This window comes from Homo sapiens, chromosome 20 (assembly GCF_000001405.40).
Source record: "Homo sapiens chromosome 20, GRCh38.p14 Primary Assembly".
Classification (NCBI taxonomy): domain Eukaryota; kingdom Metazoa; phylum Chordata; class Mammalia; order Primates; family Hominidae; genus Homo; species Homo sapiens.
Window position 1 is genome coordinate 37972365 of NC_000020.11, and position 17995 is coordinate 37990359.

Genomic DNA, 17995 nt, shown 5'->3' on the forward strand with positions numbered 1-17995 from the left:
GCAATTCATTAGGATCCATTTTCACATCTATAGTCAATGCTAATCACTTGTTTGTTTAAAACAGGAAGTTCTGCACTCATTAAAGCCATTACTAAATGAAAATGTTTCTCATGGAAGTCTGGCCTCCCACACTGGAGTGTAAACTCAAGGACTGCACCCCCTCTTTTGTGTAGACTTTCCAGAAATCAGCAAAGCAGGTGCTCACAAGCTGGAAATACCCTGGGTTAGGACCCTAGTGTTTGCTGCCAGTGGGACCTTAGGAACCAGGCCCTTCAGCTCTGGCTGGGAGTGGCCTGGCAAGGGTGAGCTCTGCCCATCATTCCTCATCCACCCTATTCCACCCTGCAGAAAAGCCCCAGAGAACAACTTCCCTATGGCAATGCTACCCACCCATTACTCACGCACCTATTGGGTGCCCGCCAGATGTACAGCCCAGGCCCACCTCTCGGGTATTGAACAGACTGGCCTGCTTTCCTGAAGTTTCACCTTTTTCTTTATCTTCATTGCCCACTGCCCCCACCTTACATCAACACGAGCAACACCTTAAATGTGTTGTTTGAGCCTTTGTACCTGCTGTTCCCTCTGTCCAGAGCGGGCCTTCCCTGTGTGTACTTCATGGGCAAATACTGCAATGCCAGCTTGGTGGTGTCTCCTCCATGAAGCCTCCCAATTGCCTTTTGGTTCAACCTCTGGGCTGCCATTTATATTTTTGAATATCATCATCTTCATGGTGGTGACCAACTCTGATAGAGCACCTCCCAGGGGCCAGCCGGTCCCTGAGTCTATCACTCTACCACTCTGGTGTCCCATGCTCCCAGGGAGGTACTGTTCTTATTTTCATTTCGTCAAGGCTAAGAGTCCTGAAGAGACTTTCCCAAGGCCACATGGCAGGCCTTCTTATCTCCAGAGCCCATGAGCTTAACTGCCGCTCCCTACCTCCTCCCAATGCAGACTTATTGCTGTCTTCTCACACGAACTTGCCCTGTTTAGCTCTCCTGTAAGCCTAGCTCCTAAGAGGCAGTATACATGTCTTTTTGTCTCTGGGGCTGGCACATAGAAAGCCTTGAAAAATACTTGTTGAAATTTCCAACCAGCAGATTTCAGATCCTGTTCCATAAACCCTGTTGTAACTGATCATGCAACTGATCAGTAGCCTCCTGTTAGAATCCTGTCTTTGCTCTTAATGTCTCTGGAGGAGTTACTGGATATGTCAGTCATCATGACCATGAGATGAAGCGGCAAGTCATGACCCTGTCGTGTGTCTCTGTCAGGTGCTGAAGATGCAGAAAGGAATATGACTCCTACATGAGAAAAAGGCTGCAAGCCCCACGCAGAGCTGTGGCGAGGAGGGCGGCATTGCAGTGCCCTGATTTCAACATGGGTAGTCAGGAAAAGCTCCGAGGCCTGACCTGCCTCTCTTGGGGTTCTGAGGGGGCTCAGATGAGCTAGGGCATGGGCGGGAGATCATCTTCCTACATGCCCACGGGGATACAACCCATTCCCTGAGAGGCATCCTCTCCAAGATTCCTTTGCTTATTTTTTGCTTATTATTATTATTATTATTATTATTTTTTAGACGGAGTCTCACTCTGTCGCCCAGGCTGGAGTGCAGTGGTATGATCTGAAGCAATTCTCTGCCTTAGCCTCCTGAATAGCTGGGATTACAGGCGCCCACCACCACGCCCAGCTGATTTTTTTTTTTTGTATGTTTAGTAGAGACGGGGTTTCACCATCTTGGCCAGGCTGGTCTTGAACTCCTGACCTTGTGATCCACCCACCTCGGCCTCCCAAAGTGCTGGGATTACAGGCGTGAGCCACTGTGCCCAGCTACTTATTTGGATTAAGCATTGCTTCCCCTTCTCCCAGCCCTGGTTCCCCTCGAGAAACACAAAGCACAAGCGAGGGACCCAAGATGATGTTAGGCCCCTAATACCAAATGTGAGTTTGCCATAGGATTATAGACACATAAACGCCTTCTATTTTGATGACTTTTTTTGTGTGAGTGGATAAGCTACACATGAATAGGGTTTAAAAAAATGTCAAGGGTGTATGGGGTACTTGTGAGAAGACTTCTCATCACTGATCCTGTCACCCTTCCTAGAAGCTGAAGGCTGCCACTTGGGTGTCCTTTAAGAGAGAATCCACACATCAAGTGTCCCCCTTCCCCATACGCAGCAGCATTGTTCTGGTTGTCTTTTTCTTTTTTTCTTTTGAGATGGAGTGTTGCTCTGTTGCCTATGCTGGAGTGCGATGGCGCTATCTTGGCTCACTGCAACCTCCGCCTCCTGGGTTCTAGCAATTCTCCTGCCTCAGCCTCCCAAGTAGCTGGGATTACAGGCACCTGCCACCATGCTCAGATAATTTTTGTATTTTTAGTAGAGATGGGGTTTTGCCATGTTGGTCAGGCTGGTCTCAAACTCCTGACCTTGGGTGATCCACCCACCTCGGCCTCCCAAAGTGCTGGGATTACAGGTATGAGCCACAGAGCCCGGCCGCTGCTTGTCTTTTTCTTTAATAATGTATCTTGGAGCTATACAAAGAACTACCTCATTATTTTGAAAGGCTATGTGGTACACTACCCATGTTTATGAGGCACTTATTTAGCCAGTACTCTCTTGATGGACTTTTAGGTTGTTTCCATTCTTTCATTAATGCAAACAATGCATCAACAAACACTTTATTCATCATCTTTGATCATGGCAAGTAAATTCCTAAAAGCAGGATTGCTGAGTCAAAGGGTATGTGCATTTAAAATTCTGATAGCTATTGCTATTTTATTTTTTATTCTTTCAAAGGCAGACTACCACAGGTAGTGCCTCATTTGAATGTGTCTGGAGCCTTGGAAGCTTGGAGCCCTACGTTCTCCTACAAATGGACCTTGAGAGCTTGTTTGGAGGTTCTAGCAGGGGGGCTCAGCTACTTATATACCCTTGACTGAAGACCAGTCTTCCTCTATTGGGGATGGTCGTCCTCTTCGACAGAGTGTGCAGCTTCAGGAGGGACACACATGGAGTGGAGAGGGAGGAAGGGGACAACTGCCCAGCCAGCCAGATCAGCCGAATGAACCCTGGCAATCAATGGGGTGATGGATATTGCAGCCAGATCGCCCTTACATCCTGTTTTATTCTTTTAAAATGTTGCACAGTATTTTGTTATATAAATGTACTGGAGATCATTTAACTAGTCCATCCCTCCCTCCCTCCCCTGTTCTTTGTAATTTTCTTTTCTTCCTTTCTTTTTTTTTTTTTTTTTTTTGAGACTGAGTTTCACTCTTGTTTCCCAGGCGGGAGTGCAATGGCGTGATCTTGGCTCACCACAACCTCCACCTCCTGGGTTCAAGTGATTCTCCTGCCTCAGGCTCCCAAGTAGCTGGGATTACAGACATGTGCCACCACGCCCAGCTAATTTTGTATTTTTAGTAGAGACAGGGTTTCTCCATGCTAGTCAGGCTAGTCTAGAACTCCCGACCTCAGGTGAACCGCCTGCCTCGGCCTCCCAAAGTGCTGGGATTACAGATGTGAGCCACTGCACCTGGCCTCTAATTTTCTACTTACTTTAAGGAATAGTTAACAGTAATATTTCATGACTTTGGAGTGCAGTGGCACAATCATAGCTCACCGCAGCCTCAATCTGCTGTGCTCCAGTAATCCTCCTGCCTCAGCCTCCCAACATGTCGAGATTACAGGCATGAGCCACCATGCCTGGCCTCATGACATTTGAGGTATCACTCTTCAGTATAGCTCAGTAGAATTTCTGTGTTGTGGGGGGCATTTCAGTCTCTTCTGGATGAAGAGCTCAGCACCATGATTAGGTTATTTCCTATCTTTTGCTTCCATTCGTTGGATATTAAGGAAGAGTATCAAGCATAAAGCCTGGCACATACTAGGCATTCAATATTTGTGAAAATATTTTTAAAAATTCGGAACAATGTTGCAGTGAACTGCCTAGGCGTGTACATCTTTGTGCCCATGTGTGAGTATGAAATACTTAAGAGGCAGAATTACTGATCAAAAGTGTGTGCATTCAAATTTGGTCGATAACTGCCCAACTGACCTCCAAAGACCTTGTGCCAATGTACATGCCTGTCTCCCCATATACTTTCCAACATTATATTATCAAATTATAGATGTTGAGGAGGTGGAACGATGCTTGGGGATTGATTGGTTCAAACCCTTTACCTAGTAGATGGGGAGGCTGAGGCACAGGCAGGGGAAGAGAGCGCCCAAGGTCACCTGTGAGCTGTGGCACAGTTCGATTCCCTCCAGGGAACTGGGGCAGGGTTTGGGGTGAAACACTTGAGTGCACCCGGTGGGGTCCATGAGACAATGAGAAGGAAGGCTAACAAGAGGTGGGGTGCGCTGAGGCCTATCCCTCCCCCACACCTACGCCCAGGTAACGCAACATGTTTTATTTCATGAAGGAACTTCTGACTCTTCTCCACTACTTCTTCTCCCCGCCTCCCCCCACCCATCTTTTTCCTTGGAAACAGCCTCAGAGATTCTGAAAGGTGCTTTCCTTACTTCTGAGTCCGCCTGTGTGGGAGGAAGCTGAGGACGTGAGGGTACTGATTGAGAGAGCAGGTTGAGACCCAGGAGCTGCTGTGCAAAAAGAATGGCAAATTATATAAGGAGGGGAAACGGAAGCGGGTGGTGGAGGCAGCCATTCATCAGTGTTTTTTAACCCTTTCCTGCTGCAAAAACAGGCAGCCCCAGATGCCGGGATACGGCCGCAGTGAGAGAGACATTTTCATAAACGGTTGGTGCTGAAAGCTTTGAAGCGAGGAGGGCACTGCTCCCTCCTTGTCCTTTGCAGACTGGCTTTGTACTCTGGGTAAAACTGTCAGAAAAGGTAGAACAGCTCCTAATCTAGGAGATGATTCCTGTGGGAAATCAGGCTGCTTTTCAAGCGTAATTTGAAAAGCCGCTGCCTCCAAACTTCAGTTGTGGAGTGGGGGAGACGGGGGCGGGGGGGGGGGGAGACGGGGGCGGGGGGGCGGGGGGGGGCGGCGCAGAGAGGAGCATGCCATTTATAAAGCAATCAACGCTTCCACAGAGTCCACCATCACTCAGAATTATTTTCTGAAATTTGGCCTCTATTCCTTACTCTGGAGGAAAGGCAGTACGGGCACCTGGCTTCCAATCAAGCCCGACGCACAGGACTGGGTAAGCCACACAAAAGGAGAGGGACCCTGCATTGCTCATCACAGCTGGAGCTGCGGAAAATCATTTCTAGGGCTCCTCAACTCTCCGGAACAAGCCAGAGGAAGCCTCATCAGAGGTTCCATTCATCTGACTTCTTACTTTTAAACTTTAAATCACATATTTATGTGCCTCAAGTTGCCCATGAACCACAGCATGTCAAACAGTTCGGGGTTGATGGAAGAGGTACATTTTCTCGTCCTGGGACTTTCAGAAATACAATTTCATTGCCAGTCTCTCTCCCTTCCAATTTCTCCCGTATGCTGCCACGAGATGAATATTCCTAACATCCTGCTTTCAATACATTATTCACCTGTTCAAGGACCTTCCAAGGCCACTTCTTGATCCCTTAAGGCTGGGATACTCAGATTGGCATTCAAGGCCTTCCATAAATGTGGCCTCAGCGCCCACAACCTCCTCACATTCACTCTCCCAGACTGCCACACCACACGTGTCACAGGCCACAAATACAGGGTGGTGAGTGCCTGTCATATATGCCCTCCCCGATCCCAGCATCTCTCTTCCTGGTAACCAAACACAGTGCTTTCTTTTAGGGAAACCACTCCACCTCAACTCTTTCTCCATATGGTGTGGGTGTCTCCAGACTTGTCCCCGAGATTGCTGCAGTTCAGGGGTTGGCAAACTAAGGTCCGAGGGCAAAGCAAAAACAACAAACCACCAATGAACAAAAAAACAAAGGCCCCTGGCTTATTTTTTGTGAGGCCCTTGAGCTAATAACTTTTCCGTTTTTTTTTTTTTTTGGCCAGGCGCAGTGGCTCAAGCCTGTAATCCCAGCACTTTGGGAGGCCGAGGCAGGCGGATCACGAGGTCAGGAGATCGAGACCATCCTGGCTAACACGGTGAAACCCCATCTCTATTAGAAATACAAAAAAATTAGCCGGGCATGGTGGCGGGTGCCTGTTGTCCCTGCTACTCGGGAGGCTGAGGCAGGAGAGTGGTATGAACCCGGGAGGTGGAGCTTGCAGTGAGCCGAGACTGCACTACTGCACTCCAGCCTGGGCGACACAGCGAGACTCCCGTCTCAAAAAAAAAAAGAATTTTTCCGTTTTTTAAAAGATTGCGGCCCAGCACGGTGGTTCACACCTGTAATCTCAGCACTCTGGGAGGCTGAAGTGGGCTGATTGCTTGAGTCCAGGAGTTTGAAACCAGCCTGGTTCGCAATACAGCAAAATCCTATCTTTACTAAAAATACAAAAAATTAGCCAGGCATGGGGGTGTGCGCCTGTAAACCCAGATTACTTGGGAGGCTGAGGTGGGAGAATCATCTGAGCCAGAGAGATTGAGGCTGCAGGGAGCTGAGATCATACCACTGTACTCCAGCCTGTGCTACCAGAGTAAGACCCTGTTTCAACAACAACAGCAACAACAACAACAACAACAACAACAACAACAAGATTGTAAGAAAAAAAAAGTCAAAGAAGATGCCACAGAGACCTTTATGTATGGCCTGTAAACCCTAATAGATTCACTCTGGCCCTTTACAGAGAAAGTTGCTGACACCCGTTGTAGATGGACCAAGTTTGGTTTGGGGCTGGGCAAAGCACCGGCTGAGCCAATGAGAGCAAATCCTAGGATTTAGGCTGAGGTGGGAGGATCTCTTGAGCTCGGGAGTTCCAGGTCAGCTTGGGCAACAGTGCAAGACCCCATCTCTAAAAATCCAACCCAATCCTAGGCCTTTGGCTAGAGCTGTTAGGAGGTGCACATTCACTTGGGTGTGTGATGCTGAAGGAACAGGAGCCTGGAGTCAGAGTGAAGCCACCACTGGGGAAAGCAGCATCAGAAGACAGACAGGCTGGGGGAGCTGTGCCTGCGGGGCCTCTTCGTTCTGTGTGCCAAGGTATTTTTTTTTTTGCTCAAGCCAATTTTGAATTGGGTCTCCTGTCACTCCCAACCGAGTTATGATGTGTACAGATACTGGCAGGTATGCCCACAGCTCTTTGGGCATGTGATTTTTCCTGTCTGGAATGCCCATTATTCTGTCTGCTGAAATCTACTTGTCCACTAGGACGTCACCTCCTCCTAGAAGCCTTCTTTGATTCTCTCACCCTACCGTGGTTCTATTTTAGTTTCTGGGTGGTACATGCTGAGACCTAACCATCTACTTCCTCGGCTGTAACCGTCAAGAGGAGTGTGTATTGCAGCCATAACAAAGCCATGGGCAGCGGGGGAAAGATGTTGCTGGAGCCCCAGGCACAGTGTCAGATGCTTTAGAAACACTACCGCATCCATCCCCTCTGATGCAGCTGCCTGAAGAGGCAGTGGCAACAGCTCTAATTCAGAGATGGGAAAATGCAGCTCGGAAGTAAAATGACTTGCCCAAGGTCACACGGTTACAGAGAGGCGGAGTCAGAAATGAAGCCCAGCGCTGAGGAACTCCAAATCATCCATGCTCCTTCCACAACACAGTGCCTTCTGAAGACCACAGCCACCCCCCTCCAGCCATCTCCAAGGATCCCCTGGGTCCAGGTCTATACTTTCCTGCATCCTCCAGGAGCCTTCTACAGCCTGCAGATCACGGCTCAAACATCTCAAGCTGAAATTCAAGGCCTTGCAGTATCTACTTATTCATTCTATACCAACCCCTAACCCCAGCCCAAACAATACTTGAAGTGCTGGTGCGCCCTGAGTGAAATAAGAAACCCCTATTACTCCACAAGTTTTAACAGGGGGAATGGAGTATTTTGCAAAGCTTATGTTAACAAGGACTAGACTGAGTCAGCTGGACAGGTTCAAAATTAAAGTTGCCTGAATATAATCATAACTGGAGATGCACTCTAATGAGATTTTTTTTTTTTTTAAATCAAGTGCAACAATCTGCCTGCAAGAATCTGAAAGCAACTCAAGATAGCTTAACTCTTTGAGGAAGAAGTGGGTTTTCGGAGAGCCATGGTGTATCCTCTTATGCTGATTATCTCCTGGAGAGCTTTCGCAGAGTCCAAGTTTTTATCAGGATGCGTGTGCACATCTTCCTGGCCTCTCAGGACAGCATCGCGGCTTGCCACACCCAGATGCTCTGCGAAGGCAGGCTACTTTAATCTCACCGGGAGAGCTAAGTAATGCTCAGCAAGTCATGCCACCTCCCTGACCTGTTTTCTCATTTGTCAGAATCTGGAGACTGAATTAGCCTATCACTTTGGGTCCCCAGTGGAATTAGGAACAATGCTGTGAATGCTTTTACCATCTCCGTAATTAGAGGCATTTCCCTCCCTTTTTCCAAAGGAAATCATCCCAGAATTTTAAAGCTCAAAGAGAGTTAAGTGATTATCTTGCTCTTTGAGGGGGTTCTTAACTTGGGGTCCTTGCGGGGTCACAGGTGAAGCCTCTGGAATTGTACATGGAATCTTGTGAGGTCAGTGAAGCATCCTCAGCAGATGAGATAGTGCCCACTGCAGTCTTGGAGGATGCAGTGCCCTCCTGGGGGTAACAAGGGAGGAGCGGGAGCAAGTTTCTGGGGAGTGGGTCCCCACAATCCCAACAGATGAAGAGCTCCCCCTCTGGTCCAATCCCTCCACTTTACAGGCTGCAGAACTGAAAAAAGCCCCAAGAGAAGGATTCCCTGAGGGCTCAGGAGCCAGACAGAGCCAGGCTGCCGCCACCGAGACTGGAGCTGGACATAACTCGGCCCTTGCAGGGCGGAGTGGAGAAGGAATTGAGTGGGGCCTCTCCAGAGCTGGCTGGGGACCCTCACACCAATATGTCCCCATGCCAGGCACCCTCTGGGCTTTTTAAGAGTTTGGGGATTATCTATGTCACCGGAATTGTGATCTAGCCGGTGCCTCACCATGCACCTGTGAGGAAGCATTCATCATCCCTGGGATCCTTCAGCATACATGGGAGCCCTGGGGTGGGATGTGCACCTCAATTTACATAATCTGTGTGTTTTAAATTTCTCAGCTAGAAAAAAATCGAGTATTTATCTTGCCTTTTCTTTTCTTTTTTTTTTTCTTTTTGAGACGAAGTATTGCTCTGTCGTCCAGGCTGGAGTGCAATGGCGCGATCTCTGCTCACTGCAACCTCCGCCTTCCCTGGTTCATGCCATTCTCCTCCTCAGCCTCCCGAGTAGCCGGGATTACAGGCAGGTGCCATCTTGCCTTTTCCATACAAACTGTACCGGTAGGTTACCAGATGGTTGATGAAGGGAAGGTTCCCCTTACACAAGGACTCTGGTTAACAGCAAGCCAGCATGGCAGAATTAGAACAGCATTACTCTGCAATCCCTAATGAGTGTGTGGATTCCAGTGAGATCACCATGGTTGCTAATAACACAGTAAGATCAGACTTACATACCTCCTGATGGAAGTACGTAACACCACCTATGGAGGAGAAGTGCCAAAAACAAAGCTAAGAGACTCAATCCTGATCACGACTCTTACTCTGCCTCCCAATGGCCAGGAAACACAGGTGAGAGGAGGGGCCCAAGAAATGACCTCCATAGGGATGCAATCAATAAATCCAGACGGTGGGAAATGCTGTAGGAAAAATGACCGTGTTTCTCCACCAAAAAACTTACAAGGAAAATGAGAGAGAGGTGGAGGGGGAAATCTACACATTAAAAGAGATTTATTTTTTATTTTAGAGATGGAGTTTCGCTCTTGTTGTCCAGGTTGGAGTGCAATGGCGCAATCCTGGCTCACCACAACCTCCATCTCCTGGGTTCAAGTGATTCTCCTGCCTCAGCCTCCTGAGTAGCTGGGATTACAGGCATACACCACCACGCCCAGCTAATTTTGTATTTTTAGTAGAGACGGGGTTTTTCCATGTTGGTCAGGCTGGTCTCGAACTCCTGACCTCAGGTAATCCGCCCACCTCGGCCTCCCAAAGTGCTGGGATTACAGGCATGAGCCACTGCACCCGGCCTAAAAGAGATTTATTAGGGAATATACTGATACCAGCAATGTATATCACTTATTTGGATCCTGATCCAAACACACTGGGGAAATTTAGACACTGAAAATATCTGACAATATTAAAGGATCATTGTTAATTTGGTTAGGTGTGATAATGGTATTGTGGTTGTACGTTTAAAAAAAGTTTCAATGTAACATCTGGGATTTGCTTCAAAAAAATCCGGGGTGTGGAGAGAGAGGTACATGGGTGGGGCACAGAGGAAGCAAGCCTGGCCACATGCTGACTGCCAGGGAAGCCAGGTTCATGGGGACATGGGAATTTACACTATTACCCATAGTAAAATGTTAAAAAAAATTAACCTCCTGCTTGAAAAGTAACCAAAACATTGTTACGAGTGGTTGCCTTTGGAGAGAGAAACCTGACGGCTGGGAAATGGGGAGGGGGAGATTTACTCTTCATTGTTTTCTGTTTTGTACTGCTTGGATTTGGATTTTATACCATGGTTCTATATTAACCATTCAAGAATATAAACTCATTTTAAAAAAACCACCCAGTTTAAATAAAAAACTTCAAAGTGAGCTTTTGATCATACTTTTCATCCAAGAAGTGTCTTTATTTCCGTTTGTTTCCCAAAGATCAGGTTAGGTAAAACAAATTAGTTCCATCTCATTATTTGAAGACAGGGAGGTGTATGCAGATGGAGGGGAACTGACCTCTTGTGTGTGTGTGTGTGTGGCCTGTGAGGGAGCTGGGGCTATAGAGATGGTAGGCTAAGGGGTTAAACCCTTAGAGCCACCAGACAATGTCACTTGACAACACAAGGTATGAAACATAAATAATAGTCAGCTACTTTCCTTCAATCCATTTCTAAGCAGTTGTGTGATCGATCAATTTATAAATCGATTGGCTAACTAATTCACCTTCTCTGCTGCCGCTGCCACCGCCTATGGCCGGGGTGGGGTCAGCCCAGCTTCTGGCTGGCAGTAGGGGAGGGATCGGTGGCCTCTGTGGTGGGGGAGCAGGGTCACTGCAGCTCCTTGAGCAGCTGGAGCACGTTGGTCGTGTAGGGGTTCTGCTGCCCGCTGGCCCCGTGCAGCTGCACAGGGTGGAGGCTGGGGTGGGGAGGTGTGAACTGCACGGGGCAGTAAAGCTCGTTCAGGAGGAACCAGGTGGAGTCTGGGTCCACCTTCATCAAGTGGAGGAAGACGCTGTGGAGAGATGGAAAGGAGTGAGTAGAGGGTACAGAGAGGGAAGGCGGGGAATGCTACAGCCCCAACCAGGAGGCTGTTTACCAGGCTATTTGAGAAGAAACTGATAACAATATCAAGTCACTTCAAATAGTAGAAAAAACCCACTTGAGTTCCTAAGACAGGACCAGTAGGATGGTCCCAAAGCCCAACCGAAATACAGGTAACAGTTTCATATCCATCGACATACAGAAACCAGTAATTAGTCTGAGCAGAACAATATTGACAGCAAACAAGCTCTTGGCAAAGAAAGAGGTTGAGTTCCAGAGTAGAAAGCAGGAGTTTTCACAAAGAAGAAAAACGACAGAGTGTACCCTTTCTTAAAGGCTTTGCTCAGCTCACAGGCCCAGCCCAGGGTTGAGGCAGGCCCAGGGCAGGGCTCCCTGTCCTGCTCGGGGGCCCTGAGCAAGCCTTAATATTATGGTCCTCCAGCACGCTGCTGAAGTCGGCAGTTGGACCCTTCCTGGCTGAGAGCCATGGATACTTGGTGGTGTGAACAGACACTCATGGCTCCCGTGTGAGGAGCCCGTTTCCCCACAGGGATCAGATCCACAGAATATGCCGCCTTTGGCAGGCTGTCAAAGGGTTCCTTTATTCTCCTGGGGCAGGACTGGCTGAGCTCTGCTCTGTAACCTTTGGCAGAGATAGAGCACTGATGTCCTCTGACGCATGACAGGGACAGAGCTCAAGGGCCCTGGGCTACTGGACACCCCACAGCCACCGAGGGTGGTTTTTATCTTCGTCTGAACTTTGGGGTCACAACTCTTGCCTCTTAGCTGCTCAAATACTATTTCTGAAAGATCAGTCACGTGCCCAGGGCCACTGTGTTGGGCAGTCTAAGCGTAAACTTCATACATGGTGGCAATTCAGTCCGACTTGGCAATCCCTGGAAGAATGGGGCCCTCCTGCAGTGAGCAGGGCCTCCCAGCCAGTCTGCCCATCTCAGCTCACCATCGCCTGCTCGGAGGCTGGGCTCCCCATGCCATTTTGCCCACACCACTGTGCCCAAGTAAGGCTGCCCCTTACTTTTCTCTTTCAGGACACCTTTCCTAGCACATATTGACCATTGATTGTCTCCCTCACAACATAAGCTCCCCAAGGGCAGGGACCAGGGACCACATCTGTTCTGTAGGTTGCTGTATCTCGGGCACCTGGAATGGCATGTGGTCAGCATCCAGTTAATATTGACTGAACAGGTTCTCATTTCTCTTTTTTCCCCTGCAATGTGTCCATGTAACAATGAGTTCTCATTTTAATGAGGACGTGGTGAGTTACTACATTGCACATGAATGACTTTAGACGACAACCCTCTCTAGAATATTTAAGTTCTACGAAAGGATCTGAAGGAGGGGTTAAACTCTCACCACCAAGGAAGGAACAAGGAAGATTATTAACAGGATTCAAATTATCAGAGGCATCACTAGCTATGTGGCTTTGGGAAATTATTCAGCTTGCCCTGTTTCAGTTTCCCCATTCCAAAAATGGGGGATGTACTTCACTCAGGGTTTTGCTGAGGTTTAAAGCACAGATCAAGCCCTACACAGTCTAGCACGTGATCCCTATTTACCAATTAACAGTACATAGTATCTATTTGATAAATCACATTTTATTATTGGCAATTATTCTAAGGAGCCTCTTGCATACTGCTGGGCATTAAATAGGAACTTCAACGCCTGCTAAGTCGGAGTAAATTCTGGATTTTAATTTCACTAATATGAAAGACCTGCACCCTCAGGGGATTTGGGTCTTACCGTGAAGCCAGTCTTGATATCATCCTTAGGTGTAGTGGACATACACTAAGGAGGTCAGGGAGGCAGTGGGGGAGTGGGGAGGGTGGACAAGGGCACTGAATTTTTTTTTTTTTTTTGAGACAGAGTCTCACTCTGTTGCCCAGGCTGGAGTGCAATGGCGCGATCTCAGCTCACTGCAACCTTCACCTTCTGGGTTCAAGCGATCCTCCTGCCTCAGCCTCCTGAGTAGCTGGGATTACAGGCATCCATCACCATGCCCGGCTAATTTTTGTATTTTTAGTAGAGACGGGGTTTCACCATGTTGGCCAGGCTGGTCTTGAACTCCTGACCTCAGGTGATCAACCCTCCTCAGCCTCCCAAAGTGTAGGATTACATGTGTGAGCACCGGGCCCGGCCTACTGAATTTTTTCCTGGCCTGTTCTGTGCCCAAACAATTTACTTTTCTTTGCTAGGATAATCTTGTGTTTATAACCTCCATAGTGGTTGTTGGAGAAGTGATTAGAATATTCTAATTCATCGTTTCCACTTCACCGCAGAAAGATGAGGCCTGCGTGGGAGACAATTTTTGTTTAAAAATAAAAATATCTTTGATAATTAGAGTGGCAAGGGAAATTATGAAAAAACGCACCAAAAGCGGGGAGCAGATTTCTATTTACACGTGACACAGTTGACAGTTTTCCCTGGTGCCAAAGACTGTTAGAATGCAAATGGTTTCATTTGATTTTTTCCCCTTTCAAGAGCTGGAACAATTTCTCAAGCTACAGCGTGGTGCTCTCCCAGCTTCAAGGAATATTTTTATCTGGGCAACACCCAGCAAAGCGGTGCCACGACCCAGTTCAGTCATAGCTGCGCTCTGACTTACACAGCATGAAAATGCTGCAATGTTCATTTTCTGAGCTCTTTTTAACATGCTAAATATGAATGTCGTATTTGTTGGCAGGAAAGGAAAAGAAAATAAGCCACTCTTTTTGCCCTGCAAGATATCCACATAAAATATTAACAGAAAAGCAAAGGAAAAACTTGTGCAAAGTTCACCTTCTTTTATTAAGCAAGAGCCAAACTCTTGGAAGGACTGTTTTGGGTCTCATTTCTTTGCTTTTAAAGGGGCAGATGCCCCAGAATGGCAGGAATGCACGTTCCTTCTCCCACCTCTGTGGCTTAGAGCAAGTGATTTTGCCTCATGAACCTGTTTCCTCTTTCTCCAAAGATGATCACACCTGGCCCACTCTCCTCACAGGTCCTTCTGAGGCTCTGAGGAGAGGAGGTGCAGGACAACACTTTGAAGTATATGATGAAAACAGTATTCCTTCTTTTCTTCCAGAAAGAGAGAGAGAGGGACACAGAGTCTGAGGCATAATTAACACCACCAATCTTAGCAGCACTACCATGCCATGGATAATTTTCAGATACCCTGAAAAGGGCAAAACATTTGTCTTTTGTTTCACTCATAATTTTCTCCATACTGACTTGGTGGGGGTATCCCAGTTCTCAGCCAATGATGTTCTAATTTCGCCCATTATTTTCAGGAAGAAACAAATGCAATATACTTTGTCCTCTGCATGCCTGAGGTGGGGAGCAAATGCCATGCCATGCAACCAGATGGCTGGCAAGTGTAGCTGTGCTCTCACTCCGAGAGGCAGGCGGCCTGCTGAACTCTAAACACGACAAATTCCAAACCGCACCCTTGTTGGCTTTAAGCCCCTGGGAGCTGAGCCTGAGGCCCAGGAGGTCTGATCTGAGTCCTTAGCGCCAGGCTTTGTTCCAAACTCTGGTGTCACTTTGTCCTGGGGCCAGTTCCTGCCCAGCCTTAGCTGAAACCAGAGAGTGAACAGCTGAAAGCCAAAGTTGTTGAAAACTCCTTTTGCATAAGCCAAAGCCAGAAGACAAAGACAGGACCTCTGCTTTGAAGTGACTGGGGTAACTGCCTGGAAAATGTTCCCAATACATTTTGCGATGCGCAGGGATGGCTGTTGAACATACCAAATGGCCAGTTCCATCTTTTTTCAAACCCAAAGAGAAACACTTTTTAAAAAATATATGTACACCATTTAACTCCTGAACAAAAATTTCTTTCTCCTCCCCCCAGGCCCAAATCAGTGGCTCCAGAGAGCACAGTTATCAAGAGATTATCTGGTCCCCAGAGTATCGGGAGGCACTCAGCTGTGCCACATGCCTCCGAGTGTCCTGAGGCGAGTGATTATCTCTCAATAACCTGTAAGGCCGTGTAGCTTAAATGATAACTTGACTTTAAAAAATTTAGAACTCGCTGTTAGGCAGTTTCTAAGCAACTGTTTCCATGGCAAAGAAGCCTGGTGTTTATACTGATTTTTCACTTAAAATGCAGTTTTATTGAATTTCACTCCATGCAGGCAGCCATTTGCCTGCACTTCAGCCCTATCTACAACTGACGGCTATCAGTAAGTACCTAATAAACTCCAGATGCCAAACCAGAAGTGGCTCCTTCCTTCGTGATCAGTATGGGGGTGCCCCTAGTGAGCAAGCTGGGGGCGAGGAGGTGGGAATGGGGAGGGAGGAAACGTGCTCCTGGAATCTGGTCAGCTGGGTTTAAGTTTTATCTCTTCATGGTTTATCAAACGTTTACTAAAGCCTGGTCCAGCCCAGGCCCTAACTGAGGTGCTTGAGGCACAAAGAGAGAGGGACAAAAAAGCCTCTGCCCTCAGGGCTCCCTGTCTGCTGGGGTAGACTAAGGGATCACAGAGGCCCATGGCACACTGTTGCAAGGGCCAGCCTAGAAGTGATGTGCGGGTGGCACCAGGCATGGCTTCCTGAGGAGAGGCACGGCAAGTTGCTTCTCTGTAAAGAGCGAGTGGACCAGATCAGTTCTAAGATCCCTGGTAGCTCCAACAGACCACGAGAGTTTTCAATCATGGGCACTGGATCATTACTCACCCCACCCCACAATATGGCAAAACCAAAAAGAACCCCCTCTGCTCTGCTGCAGGAGCGAATATTACAGAATATGTTCTCACCATCTCTGTCTAGACAACATCTGCTCAAAGAGAGATCTAGAAAACCGCCAGCCAATGAGGGCCCAGTGAAGCTAAATAAACTGTAACTGAAATGCAGGGCTTCCAGCTCTCCTGGGTGACAGGCTATTCTTCCTGTGTCAATTACTTGCTTGAGGGATCTGCTGTTCTCCGTCTCTTTCTGGATTTATAAAATGCTCTCATGAGCCATCAGGGTAAATGCCAGTGGTAAAGAACATGTGGCTTTGTGATCTGTTTGTTTGCTTACTTATTTGGGGCTTCTAAAGAAGTTACTCAGAAATGTCTCCTTAGGAACACGATACAGGCTCTCTCTATGTGGGCATGGTTAAATGCAGTGGGAAAGTAAGCTCACTTGTGGGAAAGCAGGCATACTCACTAAGTTATTTTGGTGTTCCCGTTGTTCCCTCTCTGGCAGCACAGCCTCCACACTCTCCTCCTCTCTGGCCATCTCTTCTCCCATCACTCTGTGCATGCTGATGCTGCAAAGGAGGCTGTGTGTTTCCTTTTAAACAAATGGATGCTCAGGGTGTTGATGCGTCCTAGCCAGCAAGCAGTGGGGCTATGTTTCTATACTTGGTAATTTACTCTAATGGGTCTCAGTTCATTGGTTAACCAGTATTTCAAGCCTGTCCTTTCTTGCTATTCAATTTAGCTATCTTCCCCTGCACGGAGGTCGTTTTTTATTTCTAAATGTTGGAAATGGAGGATTATGACTTGAAGCAACGATTTACTCTCCAAATAAATACTACCAATTACCTTTGCAGCTATACATGCTCGTTTGACTTAACTATGTTTACCTGTTCAAAACCATTCATCTATCGATCTAACGCCAACATGCATACTCACACAGAGACCCATATCAAAAATATTTAAATGCAACATGGGCAGGACTTAAAACCGTAAACACCAGTAGAAGCAAATGATGCTAACCATACCTCTGAAGTGCCACAAGATAAAGTATCATAAATGCAGAGGAATGATTCCATTGCTTTGTGCATATTTAAAAGGATATGGCGCTGAGAGGTCCAATCTGTTATAGACAATTCAAAAATAAGCCAGAATCTAGGAGGGTTTACATCCCACTGGGGCGAGATTTAAAAGCAGCCCTTTCCATCTGGCCAGTTCTCCTGCCTCCAGGAACCCTGCAAGCCTAGATCCCACGACAGTGTATTGGGCACAGATTTCAAAGTGGCATTCTGTGCTGAGCACTATGAGGGCTGACTCGGACCTTTCCCCCAGCTGGCTGCACTCTCGGGCCACATTGTTTCCTGCCCCTCCCTGGAAGGTATGTACCCTTGAAGATAAAGACATCTTCATAGCAGCCTAGGTAGGCTTGCCCACCTCCTGCCTGAACTGTTTTCCTGTAACCTGTGCTCTGGCACTAAGCCAGCAGCCTCCACTCACGGATGCCTTCAGAAACAGCTCTAGGAAATGTCCTTCTGTATTTACTGCAAGGACGTTGAGGATATTAGTCACAACAGTACCCAGTGTTCTTTTAAGATGACCCACAGAGAAATTTTCCTCAAGCGTCAGTAATAAGGAAAGCCATGCTTCTTTCTGAAAAGCTTTCTTTCCTTTTCTTTTTAAAAACTCTTATTCAGGTACTTCCTGTACCATTTTCCTCTTTGCTGTCTGTCAGGAAGCACAGAGCCACTCTGAAAGCTCCTCTCTAGCAAGGGTGCAGGGCTCTAACTGTATTGTCTATATTAACCTCAACTCGGTCTCATCTTGTTTTTGCTGTTATTTTTCCATTTAAAAAATTTCTTCACTTCCTTCCTTTTTTCTTTGTTGCAAACAATTTATAAGATGTTCCAAGTCATTTTCGGAATAAGAAGAAATTTAAATAATGATTCACAACTACTATTTAGTGACTTTTACTCTGTGGTGGTATTTTGTGCTACCTGACTTTACTGAATCCTTGT

The 17995-nt window shown here is 47.3% G+C and overlaps 1 protein-coding gene and 1 pseudogene across 6 annotated transcripts in view; both read right to left on the minus strand.

The window, feature by feature from the left end:
• RN7SKP185 (RN7SK pseudogene 185) lies at positions 2792-3117 on the minus strand (annotated as a pseudogene).
• The window catches only part of TTI1 (TELO2 interacting protein 1), a 50436-nt gene continuing 43097 nt past the window's right edge, over positions 10657-17995 (minus strand). For 3 of the 6 annotated variants that reach the window (NM_001303457.2, NM_014657.3, XM_047440606.1), the window contains one exon: positions 10657-11275. In NM_001303457.2, the coding sequence (NP_001290386.1) occupies positions 11092-11275 (184 nt within the window). In that variant the 3' untranslated portion in view covers positions 10657-11091. Of the gene's footprint in view, positions 11276-14090; positions 16576-17995 lie in introns of those variants that run through there. The other 3 variants (XR_001754440.3, XR_007067483.1, XM_017028148.3) reach the window with 1 other exon arrangement.